This window comes from Homo sapiens, chromosome X (assembly GCF_000001405.40).
Source record: "Homo sapiens chromosome X, GRCh38.p14 Primary Assembly".
In the NCBI taxonomy this organism is placed as follows: Eukaryota; Metazoa; Chordata; class Mammalia; order Primates; family Hominidae; genus Homo; species Homo sapiens.
In genome coordinates this window covers 27,882,352-27,899,519 of record NC_000023.11, presented here as the reverse complement: position 1 = coordinate 27,899,519, position 17,168 = coordinate 27,882,352, and the positions used below count along the sequence as shown (strand labels likewise).

Genomic DNA, 17,168 nt, shown 5'->3' with positions numbered 1-17,168 from the left:
CCAATAAAATGCAAATTATAAGCACAGTGAAATACTATTTCATATCAATTATGCTTAGAAAAAAATTACTAAGTTTTATCAAAGACGTGAAGAGCACAATTTAGTTGACATGAATTTCTCTCTAAATTAAAACCTTTTAAAATTATCCACTGGATTAATTCCGTGTCAAGATAAGAAACACCACCGAATTCAATAAGCACTACACAATTTATATATTACATTGCATTGACCATGTATCTTGTTTCTTTGTTTCTTTAATTGTTGACAGTCTTCCCCTTAAGTATGTAAACCCGCTCAATGAAGTCAAGAATCATATTCATCATATCCACTGGATCATAAATATATTCCTATCACTTAGCAGAGAGATCCACATGGTTTCTGTCAATAATATTTTTGAATTGATAAATAAATATAATTTTTAACATTTAAAAAATTCATTATCTTATGGTAAATTGACAATTTATAATTGTTTATATTTATGTGGTACAAAGTGATTTTATGATGTGTGAATACAATGTGGTGTAATTGAATCAACCTAGTTAATATATACATCACTCCAAATATTTAATATTTCTTGCAGTAAGATCATGTGAAATGCACACTCTTAGCAATTTTGAAATGTACAATGCTCTATTATTAACCATATACACCATGCTGTGCAATAGAGCTCAAAAATAAACATATTTCTGCAGTGCAACTGAGATTTTATATCCTTTGACCACCAGTCCCCCTTCCTCCAGCCTCTATAACCACTATTTTACTCACTGCTTTTATGATTTTGATTGTTTTAAATTCCACATATAAGTGAGAACATTCAGTATTTGTCTTTCCATGCCTGGTTTATTTCACTTAGCATAATGTTCTCCAATTCCATCCATGTTGTCACGAATGACACAATTTACTTCTTTTTAAAGGCTGAATAGTATTCCATTGCATATACATATTTTCTTTATCGATTCATTTGGCAATGGACACTTAGGTTGCTTCCATAACTTGGCTATTGTGAATAGTGCTGCAATGAACCTGGACGGGCAGACATCTCTTCCACAAATTGATTTCTAATCTTTTTAGTAAATAACCAGAAGTGAGATTACTGTATCATATGGTAATTCTATTTTTAGTTTTTTGAGGAACCTCCATACCATTTCTTATAATGACTACACTAATTTACATTCCCAACAACAGGATATAAAAGTTCCCCTTTCGGGGCGAGGTGCGGTGACTCACGCCGGTAATCCCAGCACTTTGGGAGACTGAGGCAGGCGGATCACGAGGTCAAGAGATCAAGACCATCCTGGCCAACATGGTGAAACCCTGTCTCTACTAAAAATACAAAAATTAGCTGGGCATGGTGGCGCGCGCCTGTATTCCCAGCTACTCAGGAGGCTGAGGCAGGAGAATCACTTGAACCCAGGAGGTTGAGGTTGCAGTGAGCTGAGATCATGCCCCTGCACTCCAGCTTGGTGACAGAGCGAGACTGCATCTCCAAACAAAAAAAAAAAAAAAAAAGCAGTTCCCTTTTCTCCATATCCTTGCCAGCACCTTTTTGGCAATAACCATTTTGGAAGGTGTGATGTGATATCTGATAGTGGTTTTAATTTGCATTTCCACAATGATTAGTGATGTTGGGCATTTTTTTTTTCATGTATTTGCTGGCCATTTCTCTTGAGAAATGTCTATTCAGACTCCTTGCTCATATTTTAACTGTTTTTTCTTGCCATTGAGATGTTTTACCTCCACATATGTATTTTGGATATTTACGCCTTATTGGATGCATAGTTTGCAAATATTTTCTCCCAATTTATGGGTTGTCTTTGCACACTATTAATTGTTTCTTTTGCTGTGAAGAAGCTTTTTATTTTGATGTAATCCTGTTTGTCTATTTTTACTTTCGTTGCCTGCATTTTTGAGGTCAAATCTAAAAAATCATTTCCCAGACCACTCTCCTGTAGGTTTTCCCCAATGTTTTATTTTAGGAGTTTTACAGTTCAGTTACTGTTCTTATGTTTAAGTATTTAACTTGTTTTGAGTTGATTTTTGTATGTGTTTTGAGATAAGGGTCCAATGTCACTCTTCTGCTTGTAGATATCTAGTTTTCCAAGCACCATTTCCTGACAAGACTATTCTTTTCCCATTGCATATTCTTGACACTTCTGTCAAAAATCAATTGACTGTATATGCATGGGTTTATTTCTGGGCTCTTTATTCTGTTCCATTGGTTGATGTGTCTGTTTTTTTTTTTTTTTTTTGCCAGTATCACGCTGCTTTAATTACTAGAGCTTTAAAGTATAGTTTGAAAAGAAGTAGTGTGATACCTCCATCTTTGTTCTTTTTGCTCATGATTGCCCTGGATGTTTGTTTTTTTTAGTGGTTCTATGTGAATTTTAAGGTTGCTTTTTCCATTTCTATGAAAAATGATATTGGAATTTTGATAGGGATTGCATTGAATCTGTAGGTTGCTTTGGGTAGTGTGGTCATTTTAACAATATTAATTCTTCCAATTTGCTAAAGTCCTGAATATAATTTGCCATGAAAAGTGTATTATTTGGGGAAAGGATGAGGCTATTGGGAGGCTGAGATGGGCAGATCACGAGGTCAGGAGTTCCAGACCATCCTGGCTAACACGGTGAAACCACGTCTCTACTAAAAATACAAAAAATTAGCCGGGTGTGGTGGCGGGCGCCTGTAGTCCCAGATACTCGGGAGGCTGAGGCAGGAGAATGGCGTGAACCTGGGAGGTGGAGCTTGCAGTGAGCCGAGATCGCACCACTGCACTCCAGTCTGGGCAACAGAGCCAGACTTCGTCTAAAAAAAAAAAAAAAAAAAAAAAAGATGAGGCTATGCTGAGGTCTGTATTAAAGCTAGTTAAGGAACTAGCATTACATTTCTGTTTCAACATGTACACCAGAGTGGTTAAGCAAAAATACAGCTCAATCAAATTCAGTTCAATTAATAAAATATTTTATTTTTGTCAACTTCATAACTTTTTAAACTATATTTGGAACCACATCCCTCATTCCAAATAATTCTTCTTGATCTTATATAAGAAACCACCACCTTAAGGTCACCCAATAAAAATGTGTTTTATATTCAATGGCAGCGACAGCAACCCACCACAATATCTTGTTAGCCTCAGGTAGAGGTAAAAATTAAAAAGACTACATATATATAGTTCAACATGGATGAACTTTGAAGACATTATACTAAGTGAAATAAACCAGCCCAAAAAAGACAAACACAGTTGTCCTCTCAGTATCTGTGGGGGATTGGTTTCAGGATCCCCTGTGTATATCAAAATCCACAGATGCTCAAATCCCTTATGGTGTAGTATTTGCACATAACCTACTCACATGCTCTTGTACACTTTAAATCATTTATAATACCTTGTAATACCTAATATTAAATATTTGTTATACTGTATTGTTTAGGGAATTATCAAGAGGAAAAAAGTCTATATATGTTCAGTAGAGATGCAACCATCCCTTTTTCTGAGTATTTTCAATCCATGGTGAGTTGAATCCACAGATGTGGAGTTCACAGATACAGAGGGCTGATTGTACTGTATAATTCCACTTGTATGAGGTACTCATGTAGTCAAATTCATAGAGACAAAAAAGTAGAATGGTGGTTGCCAAAGACTGGGAAGGGAAAGAAGAATTGGGAGTTTTTGTTAGAATGTATAACCATTCATGCCCAGTTTCAGTTTTGCAAAAGGAAAAGAACTCTGGAGATTGGTTATACAACAAAGAACAAAGTGAATGCAATTAACAATACTGAACTATATACTTAAAAATGGTTAATATAGTAAATTTTGTGTTCTTTCTATTTTACCACAATTTTAAAAATTATTTAAAAATGCTCCATCATTACTGACTGAAATGAATTACAAGGTTGAGCATCTCTAATCTGAAAATCTGAAATCTGTAGCGCTTTAAAATCCAAAACTTTTTGAGCATCAACATGATGCCACAAGTGTAAAATTCCATACATAAATACTTAGCACAAACTTCGCAAAAAGTCATTTAAAATATTGTATAAAATTACATTCAGGCTATGTGTATAAGTTGCATATCAAAAATAAATTTTGTATTTAGACTTGAGTTTCATCCCCAAGACGTCTCATTGTGTATTTGCAAATATTCCAAAAGAAAAAAAAAATCCAAAATCTGAAACATTTCAAGTAAGAGATACTCAATTTGTATTGTTATGGTAGTTATAACTATTATATTATATATATATCATTACTACTTATATATCTTACATTATAAATGCATAAATTTCATAAAACATTAATAGTTACATTAAATATTTGAGCTATCATTATAGCATTGAGGAAAAATCAAAATAAAGGACTAAGTAATTAATCTGAAAGTTTAGTTCAATGATACAATTAGCTTCTGCTTTCCTATGGCCTTTCTCTGATACCAGTGATTCTAAAAAATTCCGAGTGAAAAATTATCCAATGAAACAGTTCTGAAGACTATTGTCAATTAAATATTTAGTATCTTTTCTAATTTTGTTTTATTTTAAAATTGGGATAATCTTTTTTTTAAAAAAAGTGAGATGTTTATTATTTCTGAAGAATTTTAATTTGCAGACTGATTACATTGCAGAGACAGCCTACTAATTCCCTGGTAAAAGGCTTGTTTGCACCAAAAGCCTCTGCCACCAGGAAGGAATGATATTTTATATATATATAGGAACCCTACAGAAAGCAGAAAAAAAATCATAAGCCAATACTCAAATCTCAGTCTTAAAATGTCCAACATTCTTAAAAGACAAAGCTGTTTTTAAAAGTACATTGAAACTAGTACATTTTGAATGGTTTCTGCTCTAAGTGTGATGGTTATAGATGTATATGTACATTTTTTCACATATGCCACTGCTGTTACCTGGGTCCTACTATATTTGCTCATATCTTCCTCCTTAGACAGAGGAATTTTGGTTAAACTTGGTTTCCATGGAATTCTTAATTATATTTTTCCTAAATTTGAATAAAGAACTAAATGTGTAAATACAGAATCAAAAATATTTTGAAAATATAAATATTATAAAATCCACAATAATTTAAAGTGTGGGTTTATTTAATGAAAAAGTAAAATATAGACATCAGAATATATTTATCAATAAAATTCTACAACAGTAGTTCGCAACTGGGATCACTTTTATCCCCAGGAGATATTTGGCAATGTCTGGAGACATTTTTGGTTGTCAGAATGATGTATGAAATGGTGATAGAGGTTGCTACTGGTACCTAGTAGGCAGAGGCCGAGGACAATGCTGAATATGCTACAGTGTGCAGGACAGTATTGCCAGCAACAAATAATTATCCATCCCCAAATGTTAATAGTGCCAAAGTTCAGGAAGCTTGCTCTGGAGAAGCTTCCCATTACAATGTACAAAGGCCAACACATGCAATCCATAATAAAGCTACTGTAACATAACTTGGAAACTGTCTCTGGAGACTATTGTACGGCTTGTGAGCAGTTCAACCTTCTGTGGACTAAAAACAAAACATAATGTACAATCTCTTTGATTGGCCCAATCACAAGGATGTCCCACTTGTGATCCTCACCATTCATAACACAGTGGACCTATTAGAACAAATTATGATGAACCAGGTGTCTAGTCTACTGGGTCTTACAAGGATGTCCTTCCAGTGCTGTACACAACAGCCAAACTGCAGCATAGTTCAGTGTCCTGACTCAAACATTTAAAGGCTTTTGAGGATGGTGCCTCAAGGTAGTAGCCCTCTCTGGAGATCCATGATGGCTATGTGGATATTTACAGGCATGCCACAGAGATCTATGAGTGTTCCCAGCAGAAGCCTAACTCCTCTGGCTTGGTCACTGTAGCCAACTTTATCAACGCTGTGGATCAGATATTTTCATTTGCATACATCACCGCCGTAAAAATTTCCTCAGTTCTCCCTGAGAACTATCCTAACAGTGTTCTGCAGATCAGGACTGGAAGCAGCAACATTTCAAAAGGTATACAATAAGCACATGGCTCTATGAAAAATAAAGGGACTGCTGCACCCTACCATGTCAGAGACCGTGACTGTGTGTTCATGCTTGGTTTCCTGTCCCTTCTACTCGTGGAACTTATTAAGAACAATCTGTTTCTTTGTGTGCAACTCAGCATCAGCCAGAATGATATGCTGTATATCCTAAAATAAGCAGTGAAGGGCTTTGAAAGGAAGAACTATGACTTTCTGTTTTAAAAGAGCTTGACGTCTTTTATCAAATGCATGGAATTATTGTAGCAAAATATACTGAATGGAAATCTATATGTCATGTATTTTGAATGCTCCATTAAATAATGTGCTTTTAAAAGAAGAAGCAATTAAATATAGTTACCTCTCTATGACAGCATGTACTTCTTTGGAGCATAGTTAATCGCGAGGCCATCTCCTAAATCTCAATCCCAAAGCATCCGTTTGTTCACCTGAAAACTATATATTTAAACACTAACTAGTATCATTATGTTGGGAAAGTCAAGATCAGTTTTCTGGGCTTCAGTTTTATCATTTCTAAAACTGGAAAAAGGAAAGAAGCTGAAAATACTGGAATCCTATTATATAACATTTTTTCCACCTATATCACTCTAATTCGTATGGCAAATGATAATAATTCTTAAGTATATCTTATTACCCAGATTATAAATCCCAGAGACATTGGATAAACATTCTCTTATTTTTTTATTTCTTCAACATCTACCACAGTGCCTGGCAAAACATATGGTGAAGTCAACTAAACAACAACAAAATAATCTTACAATGAGTCTGCCAGCATATTTATATGATTACAAAAAGCTAAGCAAATCAAAGGTTAATTTTTCCTTTTTTTTTTTTTTGAGACGGAGTCTTGTTCTGTTGCCCAGGCTGGAGTGCAATAGCGCAATCTCGGTTCACTGCAGTCTCTGCCCCCCAGGTTCCAGAGATTCCCCTGCCTCAGCCTCCTGGGTAGCTGGGATTACAGGCGCACGTCACCACACCCGGCTAATTTTTGTATTTTTAGTAGAGACGGGGTTTTGCCATGTTGGCCAGGATGGTCTCGAACTTCTGACCTCAGGTGATCTGCCCGCCTTGGCCTCGCAAAGTGCTGGATTTACAGGTGTGAGCCACCGCGCCTGGCCCAAAGGTTAATTTTCTAGAATAATAAAACACACACACACACACACACACACACACACACACACACACACACACATCGGGGTATAGCAAATATTTAAATTGAAGATGACAGTGAGAAAATAAATAGAAATGAAATGAACAGTGGACCTTCCACCTTGGTCAGCCAGGTTTTGGTTTAAAAGTAGGCAGAACATGACACAGAGCTAGCCTGGATTGAGGACATATGACTACAAATGTTTTGTTTCTTCACTTCAATGATCTACTTCTTTGGACCTCTTTCTCTAATATGATTTTCCATTCTTCACTCACTACTTTCTCAACTCTGGAAATATCTGTTGAATGTTGAAAATATTTAGTTGTTTACCATTCACACACTGCACTGCATGCAATGGGTCCATTCACTGTCATGGTTTTACCCTGACCATTAGGCTACACAGATCTCTCCTGGAGCTACACACTAAGTCCAGCTGTCTGCAGGCACTTTCACTGTAGCACATAAGAACACTGCACTAACCTTTCCTCAATCAAATTTTTTTCCTTCTGGATTATTTTACATCTTGTTTAGTTATACCACCATCCACCCAATTATTCCAGCTAGATACCTGAGGCTTATCTTTTTTTCAGCTTTACTGACATATGAATGACAAATAAAAAATGTGTATGTTTAAGGTGTACAATTCTGTTTTGCTACATAAATATATTGTTAAATAATCACCACTATCATATTGTCTGACAAAATTCAAAACTCATGTTTAAAAATTCTCAAAAATGTAGAAGCAGAAGAAAAATTACCTCAACATGATAAAGGCCATATATGAAAGACCACAGCTAACATCATATTTGATGGCGAAAAACTGATAGGATTTCCTGTAAAATCACAAACAAAGCAAGGGTACCTGCTCTCGCCACTTCTATTCAACATAGTACTGGAACTCCTAGCTAGAGTAATTAGACAAGAAAAAGAAATAAAAGGCATCTGGATTGGAAAAGAAAATGAGGCTCATCTTCAGATCTCTTTTTCTCTCAACTCTGACATCTCATTTGTTGTAATATGCTGCCATTTCACCCTCTAAATATTTGTAAAATGAGCTCACTTCTATTCGTCTACATAACTTTTTAATTTCAGGTTTTAATCTAACTCTTCAGTATTACAACAACATCCTAAGTATGCTTGTTGGGTGAGCAATCAATAATTAATGTTCCCTCTCACTCGACCTGTGTAAACCCACCTTGCAAAAAGCCACCAACATGATCTATTTTAAAAGCAATAAAGCAATATTGCAAATAATTCATCGCTTAAAACGCTTCCATGGGTCATAATTTCTCATAGAATAGTTCCAAAAATTTTAAATTATCATATGATTTGGCCCAACTTCCTTTTTTGTCCCTGTTACTGGTCATTACCTATTTTAGACTTCAATAACCCAGAGTGGCCATTGTTTTCTTCATACACTATATAATTTTGCTTTACAAAGACTTTTATTATAATGCACTAATGATCAAGAATATCCTCTTCCCAATCTCTACCTCATCTCTTTCCTGTCAGCATTCCTACAGCCAATGCTGACTCATACCATGACTCAGTACATGGGTTATTTCCATGCTGAATTCCTCATCTTAAATGATATTATATGCTTCTCCCAGGCATGCGATAATATTATGTACACATTTTTATTATGTCATTTACTATATTGTTTTATTATTTGTATTTCATCTCCAGTGTTTATCACAATAAATTATAATTGCTACTTAATGCTTATTGAATGCATACATCGTCAAATGAAGAGAAAAGGAAGGAAGGAAATAAAGAAGAAAGACTGATAAAATCAAAGGAAGGAATTCTTTTGTAGGCTATTTTTGAAATTAGAGTCTCTTTTCTCTCATTTGTGTGGTCTTTTCTCATTCTTAGATTCTACCATTTGGGGGAGGATAGAGGAGACTCTAACAATGGACTGATATTTTGCTTTTTGTCCCACAAATACCTTATGTCTAGATATGTCAGATAGTTTGATACAGACCTTATATAAAGTTATTTTCTTCCCAGTGTTAAACATTTGTATTCAAAATGCTGATTTCTAAAATCAGAATCTTCCTAACTATTACTTTTCTCTGGTCTCTTGATTGAAAATCAGTAATGCTTTTCATGGCAGGTAGGTTTGCCTATTAAATTTATTGTCCAGCTTTATTATACTTTAACTTGCAAATTGGACAGTGCTTGCAAAGAGAGATTTTTCTAGTCCTCACAGCTCTGTAGCCAGGTCTTCTTTTATTCAGGAGGTAATACAGCAGTCCCCTGCAGCCAGACAGAGGGAAAGTTGAACACTCAGGGCTTTTGTTTCATGTCCCAAGCCTCCACTGTTACAAAATATGCAGTCTCACGGCCTATTTATTGCCAACCACAGCCGTTATTATGCATTTTTCTATCATCATAGACAAGTATAAATAAAATTAAAAAGCAGATAAAAATGGAAAATGGCATGACACAGATAATTTAAATGAAAAAAATAAAATAAATTCTGAGAGTGGAAATGAGACATAAATGTCATTTCTATATTTTGAAGAGTCCAATTATACATTCTGTTTTTATACTAGATATATTATAAAATTATAAAGCTACTTTAAATCCACAAAAGCAGTGAAATTTAAACATCAAGGTTGACAGTCTTATTATGTAGTACATTTGCCCATCATCAAGATTGCTTCAGAGATGACCAAAGAAAATATATTCCTACCAACCATGGAAATTTCTGGTCCCCAAACACTTCTCTGAAGATTCTACAGTCCAGAATCTATTTATTTAACGAATCCAAGAAATTAAGCTTCACATACCAAAAAAAACAAAAACAAAAACAAAACGAAACAAAAAAACCCCGAAACAAAAACAAAAACCAAAAAAAGCAAAAAACAAAAAAACTGTCTCTGGATTTCTGCTGCACAATTTCCATCAAAATTCTTACTCAAGCCAGGTCTTACATATCCCACTTATCCAGATTTCAAAGGACTGTTCTGATATCAAAACAGGACAGGACAGGAAATTCTGATAATCAAAAATTCCCTAAGTATTCAAAGTTCTACTTTCAAAATTTGGTATCAACTTTTAGGAAAAAACCTTCATTAATGCTGTGCATTTTCAGTTTTTACTAATTAACATTTCCACAGTGAAGGAAAAAGTAGCAATGAAATCACCTCAAGTTAAGGAACATATTAGGGTATAAATTTTTTTAAGTTATGTAATAGTGAACTCTACCACACTTCATGATCTTATTGAGCATTCAGGTTTTTTTTTCAGAACTGGAGGCAATCAGAAATTAGTCCGCTCTTCTGATTTGAAATTAAATGGTTTTTACAAAAGTCAATAACTAAATCTTTTAGTTCTTTTCACCTCAGCATCTTGTCCCAATATTTATTATTTATTTGAAGAGATACATCCTCCTTTCCCTCTAACCAAAATAAAATTCTCTTGTACTCCAGAAATCGATTTGGATCTGAACACCCTAAATGAAATGAAGTGGTATTCTCTTACATAAAGCCACATCTCTCTACCCCTTGTCATCCATCCATCTATCCCTCTATTAATTTAATTAAGATATGGGTATATATTCAACACTTGCTTCATTTCCAACAATAAATAGGAGACAGCAAACTTTTGGGGCAAAGGGCCAGATAGCAAATATTTTAGACTTCACTGGCCATATAATCTTTGTCACAGCTATTCAACTCTGTTGTTGTAAAATAAAATCAGCCATAGATAATAGGCAAATAAATGGGAATGGCTATGTTCCAATAAAACTTTATTTAGAAAAACAGGTGGTGGGCTGGATTTGGCCCTTAAGAGGTACTTTGTTGGGCCCTGCATAACAAGACAGACACTACATTGTGTATTGTAAGCAAATATAATCATAGGGATGTAAGTGATAATAGGAAAAGGTAAGAAAATACAAAAGCAAAGCTTTTGGAAGTTGGTTAAATATCCTAGCCATTTGGATATGGGCTGTTAAGGTAGTATATTCATATTTCATCCAGAATTACAGAGTAAGAGAGAATGAGAGCAAGAGTGAAAGCAAGAGAGTGAGATGGCACTCATGTACTTGGGAGAGGGGTTGGTTAATACAATAATATTGTGGTTTTCTCTAAAAGTTAAAATATATTATATAATTTATTAAGAACAGAACATTAAGCATTCAGTTTTTGTTTTAGAAACAATAACCTCAACATATACTACAGTATCCTATAATAATGGAAACATTATTTAAGCAAAAGTAGGACTTTTCAGAAAGAATAAAGAACTTAAACCAATAAGCAAAAAACAACCCCATTAAAAATTGGGCAGAGTTGGGAGACCGAAGTGGGCAGATCACGAGGTCAGGAGATTGAGACCATCCTGGCTAACACGGTGAAACCCCGTCTCTACTAAAAAATGCAAAAAATTAGCCGGGCGTGGTGGCGGGTGCCTGTAGTCCCAGCTACTCGGGAGGCTGAGGCAGAAGAATGGCGTGAACTCGGGAGGCGGAGCTTGCAGTGGGCGGAGATCATGCCACTGCATTTCAGCCTGGGCAAAAAAAAAAAAAAAAAAAAAATTGGGCAGAGGACTTGAACAGATGCTTCTGGAAAGAAGAAAACATACAAGTGGCCAACAAACATGAAAAAATGCTCAACATCACTGATAATTAGAGAAATAAATCAAAACCACAATAAGACACTATTTCACACCAGTCAGAATAGCTATTACTAAAAAGTCAAAAAATAACAAATATTTACATGGATGCAAAGAAAAGGGAAAGCTAATACACTGTGGGCGGTAATGTAAATTAGTTCAACCTCTGTGGAAAACATATGCAGATTTCTCAAAGAATTAAAAATAAGACTACCATATGATGCACCCAGTAGATACTGGGTGGTATCTACTCAAAGGAAAACAAATCATTTTATCAAAAAGACACCTGCATGCATATATTAATCAAAGGACTATTTACAATAGCAAAGCCATGGAATCAACCTAAGTGTCCATCAATGGTAGGTTGGATAAAGAAAATGTGGCATATATACACCATGGAATACTATGCAGACATTAAAAAGAACAAAATAATATGTTTTGCAGCAACATGGATGGAACAGGAGGCCATTATCCTAAGAGAAGTAACTCAGGAACAGAAAACCAAATGTGTCAAGTACTCAATTATAAATGGGAGCTAATCAGTGGGTACACATGGACATAAAGATGGAAACAATAGACACTGGGGACTCTAAAAGTGGGGAAGGTGAGAAGGAGGCAAGGGTTGAAAAACTGCCTATTGGGCACTGCGTTTACCTTTTGAGTGAAAGGTTCACTAGAAGCCCAAACCCCATCATTATGCAATATACTCATGTAACAAACTTGCACATGTACTCACTGAAACTATATTTTTTAAAAAGAAAGAAATACAACAATAAATCCTGTATAATTTAAATTGCCTTACAATTATTTTATCAAACCTCTGATTTCTTGAATGCAAATGATGTACCCAACATATAGTAGTCACTCAATAATGTTTCTTGTTTTGTTTTGTTTTGAGACGGAGTCTCGCTCTGTCGCCCAGGCTGGAGTGCAGTGGAACGACCTTCGTGCACTGCAACCTCCACCTCCCCAGCTCAAGTGATTCTCCTGCCTCAGCCTCTGCAGTAGCTGGGATTACAGGCATGCACCATCACGCCCTGATAATTTTTGTATTTTTAGTAGAGACAGGGTTTCACCGTGTTGGCCAGGCTGGTCTCGAACTCCTGACCTCAAGTGATCCGACCGCCTTGGCCTCTCAAAGTGATGGGATTACAGGCGTGAGCCACTGTGCCTGGCCTAATGTTTTGAACTTACTAATGAATTAACTCTCTTTTTGCTTATCTTGAATAACCTTCAGATTTTTAATATCTACAATGCTAACAGAAATTTTAATAAACATTTTCATGATGTTTCATTTTTGAAATAGAGTTTTTTCGAAAAATAAAAAAATGAAAGAGTATTTGATCATCTAAAATAGCTTGGGAGGCCAATATTTTCTGTATGACAAATAGATTGTTCCTAAACAATTTTCATAAAAGACTTTTCAGGAAAAAAATTTTGGTCAAAATCTTCTCATTTTATATTAAAATTAAATACACAAAATTAAACTTGAAATCCCGTTTTCAAAAAAGTTTGAGTAACTCCAAAATATTTACAGCCAAATTACATGGGATTATAAGATCTGATGCAGATTTGAACATTATATTACTACATTATGCCAACTGGTGAGACAAAAGAGTAAATGTAAAATATTATTTATTCTGTATATCATCATTATTTTTTTGAATCCTTATTATAAACAAATGTTGGCTGGTAGTAAACTATTTGAAAATGTAACCATGATGATGATAAACATTACATAGTGTTGAAGTTCCAAAGAGCAGCTTCTATGAGTGTGAAAATAAATAAGAAGCAGTCAGTTTAAGTTTACTAAATACCTGAAGAACCTCAGCTACGAAAATCATCCAATTCAAACTTAAAGGGTAGGGTAAGGTTTTACGGATAAGGTTCAAACTGTCATTTTCCATTCTCTTGGTTTTCATTAATATTTGCTAGCTACGCTTCTCAGGGTAAATCTTAATCAATTTTTTTTTACTTTATTAAATACATTATATAGAGTGTCTAAGTATATTAGTCATACAATACATTTTAGTTACACAGTCTCATTTTTTCTTATGTCTCATTTCTAGCTCTTGTTTTCATTATTATACCTTTTTTTTAAAAATCCAGAAGTTGTTTCTTCCCATTATCAATGGAAATACACACCAACCCTACTGGCCAAATATTTTTAAATGTTCTTTAAAACGGATGTGGTACATTTAGATTATGTTACTTTTATCTATAAAATGTTTCATTTCGAAGTAAATGGGGGATTGAGTTTATCTTCATCTTGAAATTTAATTACATATATGTTATGACATAAAACATATGGATAAAAATCCATGGTCATAGCTTACAAAATGCTCAATTGTGGATTGTTTTGAATACTTATATTGTTTTTAGTAAACAGATTGCATTTTGGAAAATTTTTTAAAGAAACATCATGAGGAGTAAAAGGAATTTACCTGTCAGTTTCTCAAAACCAAAAAGTTTATTACACAGTGTCAATATGTTTTAAATAATTATTTAATATTTACTCTTGGTCAGGTGCTAGACTAAATGAAGTGGCTACCCTTGTCTGGATACCTGGGGTTCCTCATCTTGCACCAAGAAAATGTACGAGATGGACACACATGAGTTTAGGAGTGGAGGTTTAATAGGCAAAAGAAAGAGAAAGAAAGAGAAAGGAAAACAGCCCTCTCTAGTGAGAGAGAGGGGACTTCTGAGATGGCCTGTGGCAGATGGGCCCTATTTTATAGTCAGGTTTGAGAAGGGGGTGTTTAATTTACATAGGGCATCAGGTATGAAGTTTACATAGTGCTCTGGGAAGGCTGGCTGCCCCACCCTAATCTTAATATGCAAATGAACTTTCCCCTTGGCCAGCGCCGTCTTGTCTGCTCCTTACTGTATACCTGACTGACAAAGAGAAGGGACGTTAGAGCCGCCATCTTGATCATGATTAGCATAACTGTCAGCATCTATGTCAGCAGCTTGTTTTACAGGCTGCTCTTTGTTAGAAAGGAAAATGATTTCGGGCTGCTTTTCATTAAAATAAAAACTTTACTGAGGACTTCCATACCCTCACTATCTGCCTAAGTAATTTCTTCTTAACTCCTGTGTCATAGAGACACAGCAATGGAGAAGTCAGCTATGAGCATTTATGCACTGTGGAGTTCACAAACAACTAGGACAGGTCATTTAAAAATAAACAGTTATGCAAATATTTAAATAGTTGCAGTTGTGAGCGATGCTTTAAAATACAGAGTGTTATGAACAAATGAAACTGGGAGATTTGCCTTATTCTGAAGAGAAGTTAGAACTCACACTGTTGGGTGTAAGGGAAGAGTAGCATATGAGGTTGAAATGAAAATATTATTTAGAGACAAGGAGATCCTGCATGTATGCCCCATGCAAATTGTCTTTGAGATGACCAAATTGCCTATGAACTCACCTCTTCCACCCTGTGAACTCCTGAAATTGAGACTTTGTCTTCAAATATGATTCACTATACCATTGCTATGCACTGAGAAGTTACTGTTAGAAAATCTGAAAATGAATGAATCTTCTTGTAACAATTTGGAGTTGGTAATTAGGTGCAATTGTCCTTACTACTTTCCACTCCTTCTTTTTTCCATTCATCACTATTGAGTTTCTTGAAGTTGATAACCGAAAAAAAAAAGCACTAATTTAAGCCTCAGTTAGGGTGATAAAATGTGTAATTGTGTAATTTGGTTACAAAAGGGGAGTACAAGATATTGCTGAATGGAATATTTATTTTTCTGACTGAAATTCAAATCAGAAATTACTATTCTCAGCAGTTAAGTTTCAAAATGACATAGTTCACTGTGCATTAACCAAGACGGCCCTAATGTTCCCTTCAGCTTGATTAAATATGAGACAGGTTTCTTCCTGACTACAGGCCCCGTCCTTATTTTCTTAGATAATTTTCTTTAGAAAACTTTCAATTGTAAATTCCTTTCTCTGGCTCTTTGAGATGTAAATCTTTTACAAACTAGGGATATCTTCCTCAAGAACCTGTGAGCCATCCCTTTGAAATGTAATCATCCAGAAAGACAGAGCCTTGGTCTCCCAGACTCTGTGGGAGAGTAAGAACCTAACTTAGATAAGTGCCAATTAGCAAACACAGATAGCCTAATCATACAGACACACCTCCCCCATTCTATCTTACTTTTCTATTAGCTCTCTTTAGCATTTAAAATCCTCTTGCCTTTTGTTGAGTTCAATCTCCCTTTCCTATTGCAATAGTCTTGAATAAATTTTTCCTTCCCCGTTTAATTGGTCTGGTCTAATTTTTCTTTTACAGTATAAAAGAAAAGCTGTTCCTCTTTAATGTTATGTAAAATAAGATCAGTTATTGCACCTATACCAGGGACCATAATCGACATTACACTAAACATATCAAAAGAGGTGCTATGCTTTTTGTACAGAGAAATTACAACATAGACTTTATTATTAAAGTCCATTCTTGGAAAACCCAGCAAGGTCTACACAATCAGAGCTTTGAAAAAAGATATATATCCCAACGAAGATTTTGTGGAGTGGAACCATAGCAGCTTTTGACACTCAGAAGAGAAAGCCAACTGCTTAACTATTATTCTAATTCATTGATTAAGAGGGAAATAGAACATTATGCATGCATATTAAATTGTATACAGTTTAAATTCTAGTTTGGCCTCTGTCATTCTCAAGAAATTTTAATTTTATTTTCTGTTATCTTGCTCAATTTCTCTACTCTAGATATTTTTTTGTGGGTGCATGAGTGATCATTATAAAAGTAGATAAGCTTTCTTACATCATCTCCCCCACACATATGAGATATCACTGTGTCAACAATATTTCACTTTCATTTTGTTAATGTGTGGAGTCTCTGGATTAGCACTGTGCAACAGGACTTTTTCTAATGATGGAAATATTGAAATACAGTAATCCCTAGCCACATGTAGCTATTGAGCACTCAAAATCTGGCTAGTGTTACTAGGGAACTAAATTTTCAACTTTATTCAGGAATAATTTTAATTTAAATGTAATAACCGCAGGCCAGGTGCAGTGGCTTATGCCTGTAATCCCAGCACTTTGGGAGGCCGAGGTGGGCAGATCACCTGAGATCAGGAGTTCGAAACCAGTCTGACCAACACGGAGAAACCCCGTCTCTACTGAAAAAAACAAAATCAGCCAGGCGTGGTGGCACATGCCTGTAATCCCAGCTACTCGGGAGGCTGAGGCAGGAGAATCGCTTGAGCCCGGGAGGCGGAGGTTGCAGTTAACCGAGATCGCGCCATTGCACTCCAGCCTGGGCAACAAGAGTGAAACTCCATCTCAAAAATAAATAAATAAATAAATAAATAAATAAATACAACCACAAGTGGGCTAGTGACTACT

General features: G+C 35.2%; 1 pseudogene, besides 2 other annotated features; it reads left to right on the top strand.

The window, feature by feature from the left end:
- On the top strand, nucleotides 5,492–5,928 carry ORC1P1 (ORC1 pseudogene 1; annotated as a pseudogene).
- Nucleotides 14,456–14,957: an enhancer, noted in NCBI's record as "NANOG hESC enhancer chrX:27902680-27903181 (GRCh37/hg19 assembly coordinates)". NCBI's record gives its function as "activates a minimal SCP1, AML or CMV promoter by ChIP-STARR-seq in naive H9 embryonic stem cells {active_cell/tissue: H9 hESC(naive)}" and the evidence as "EXISTENCE:reporter gene assay evidence [ECO:0000049][PMID:30033119]".
- Nucleotides 15,542–16,131: an enhancer, noted in NCBI's record as "NANOG hESC enhancer chrX:27901506-27902095 (GRCh37/hg19 assembly coordinates)". NCBI's record gives its function as "activates a minimal SCP1, AML or CMV promoter by ChIP-STARR-seq in naive H9 embryonic stem cells {active_cell/tissue: H9 hESC(naive)}" and the evidence as "EXISTENCE:reporter gene assay evidence [ECO:0000049][PMID:30033119]".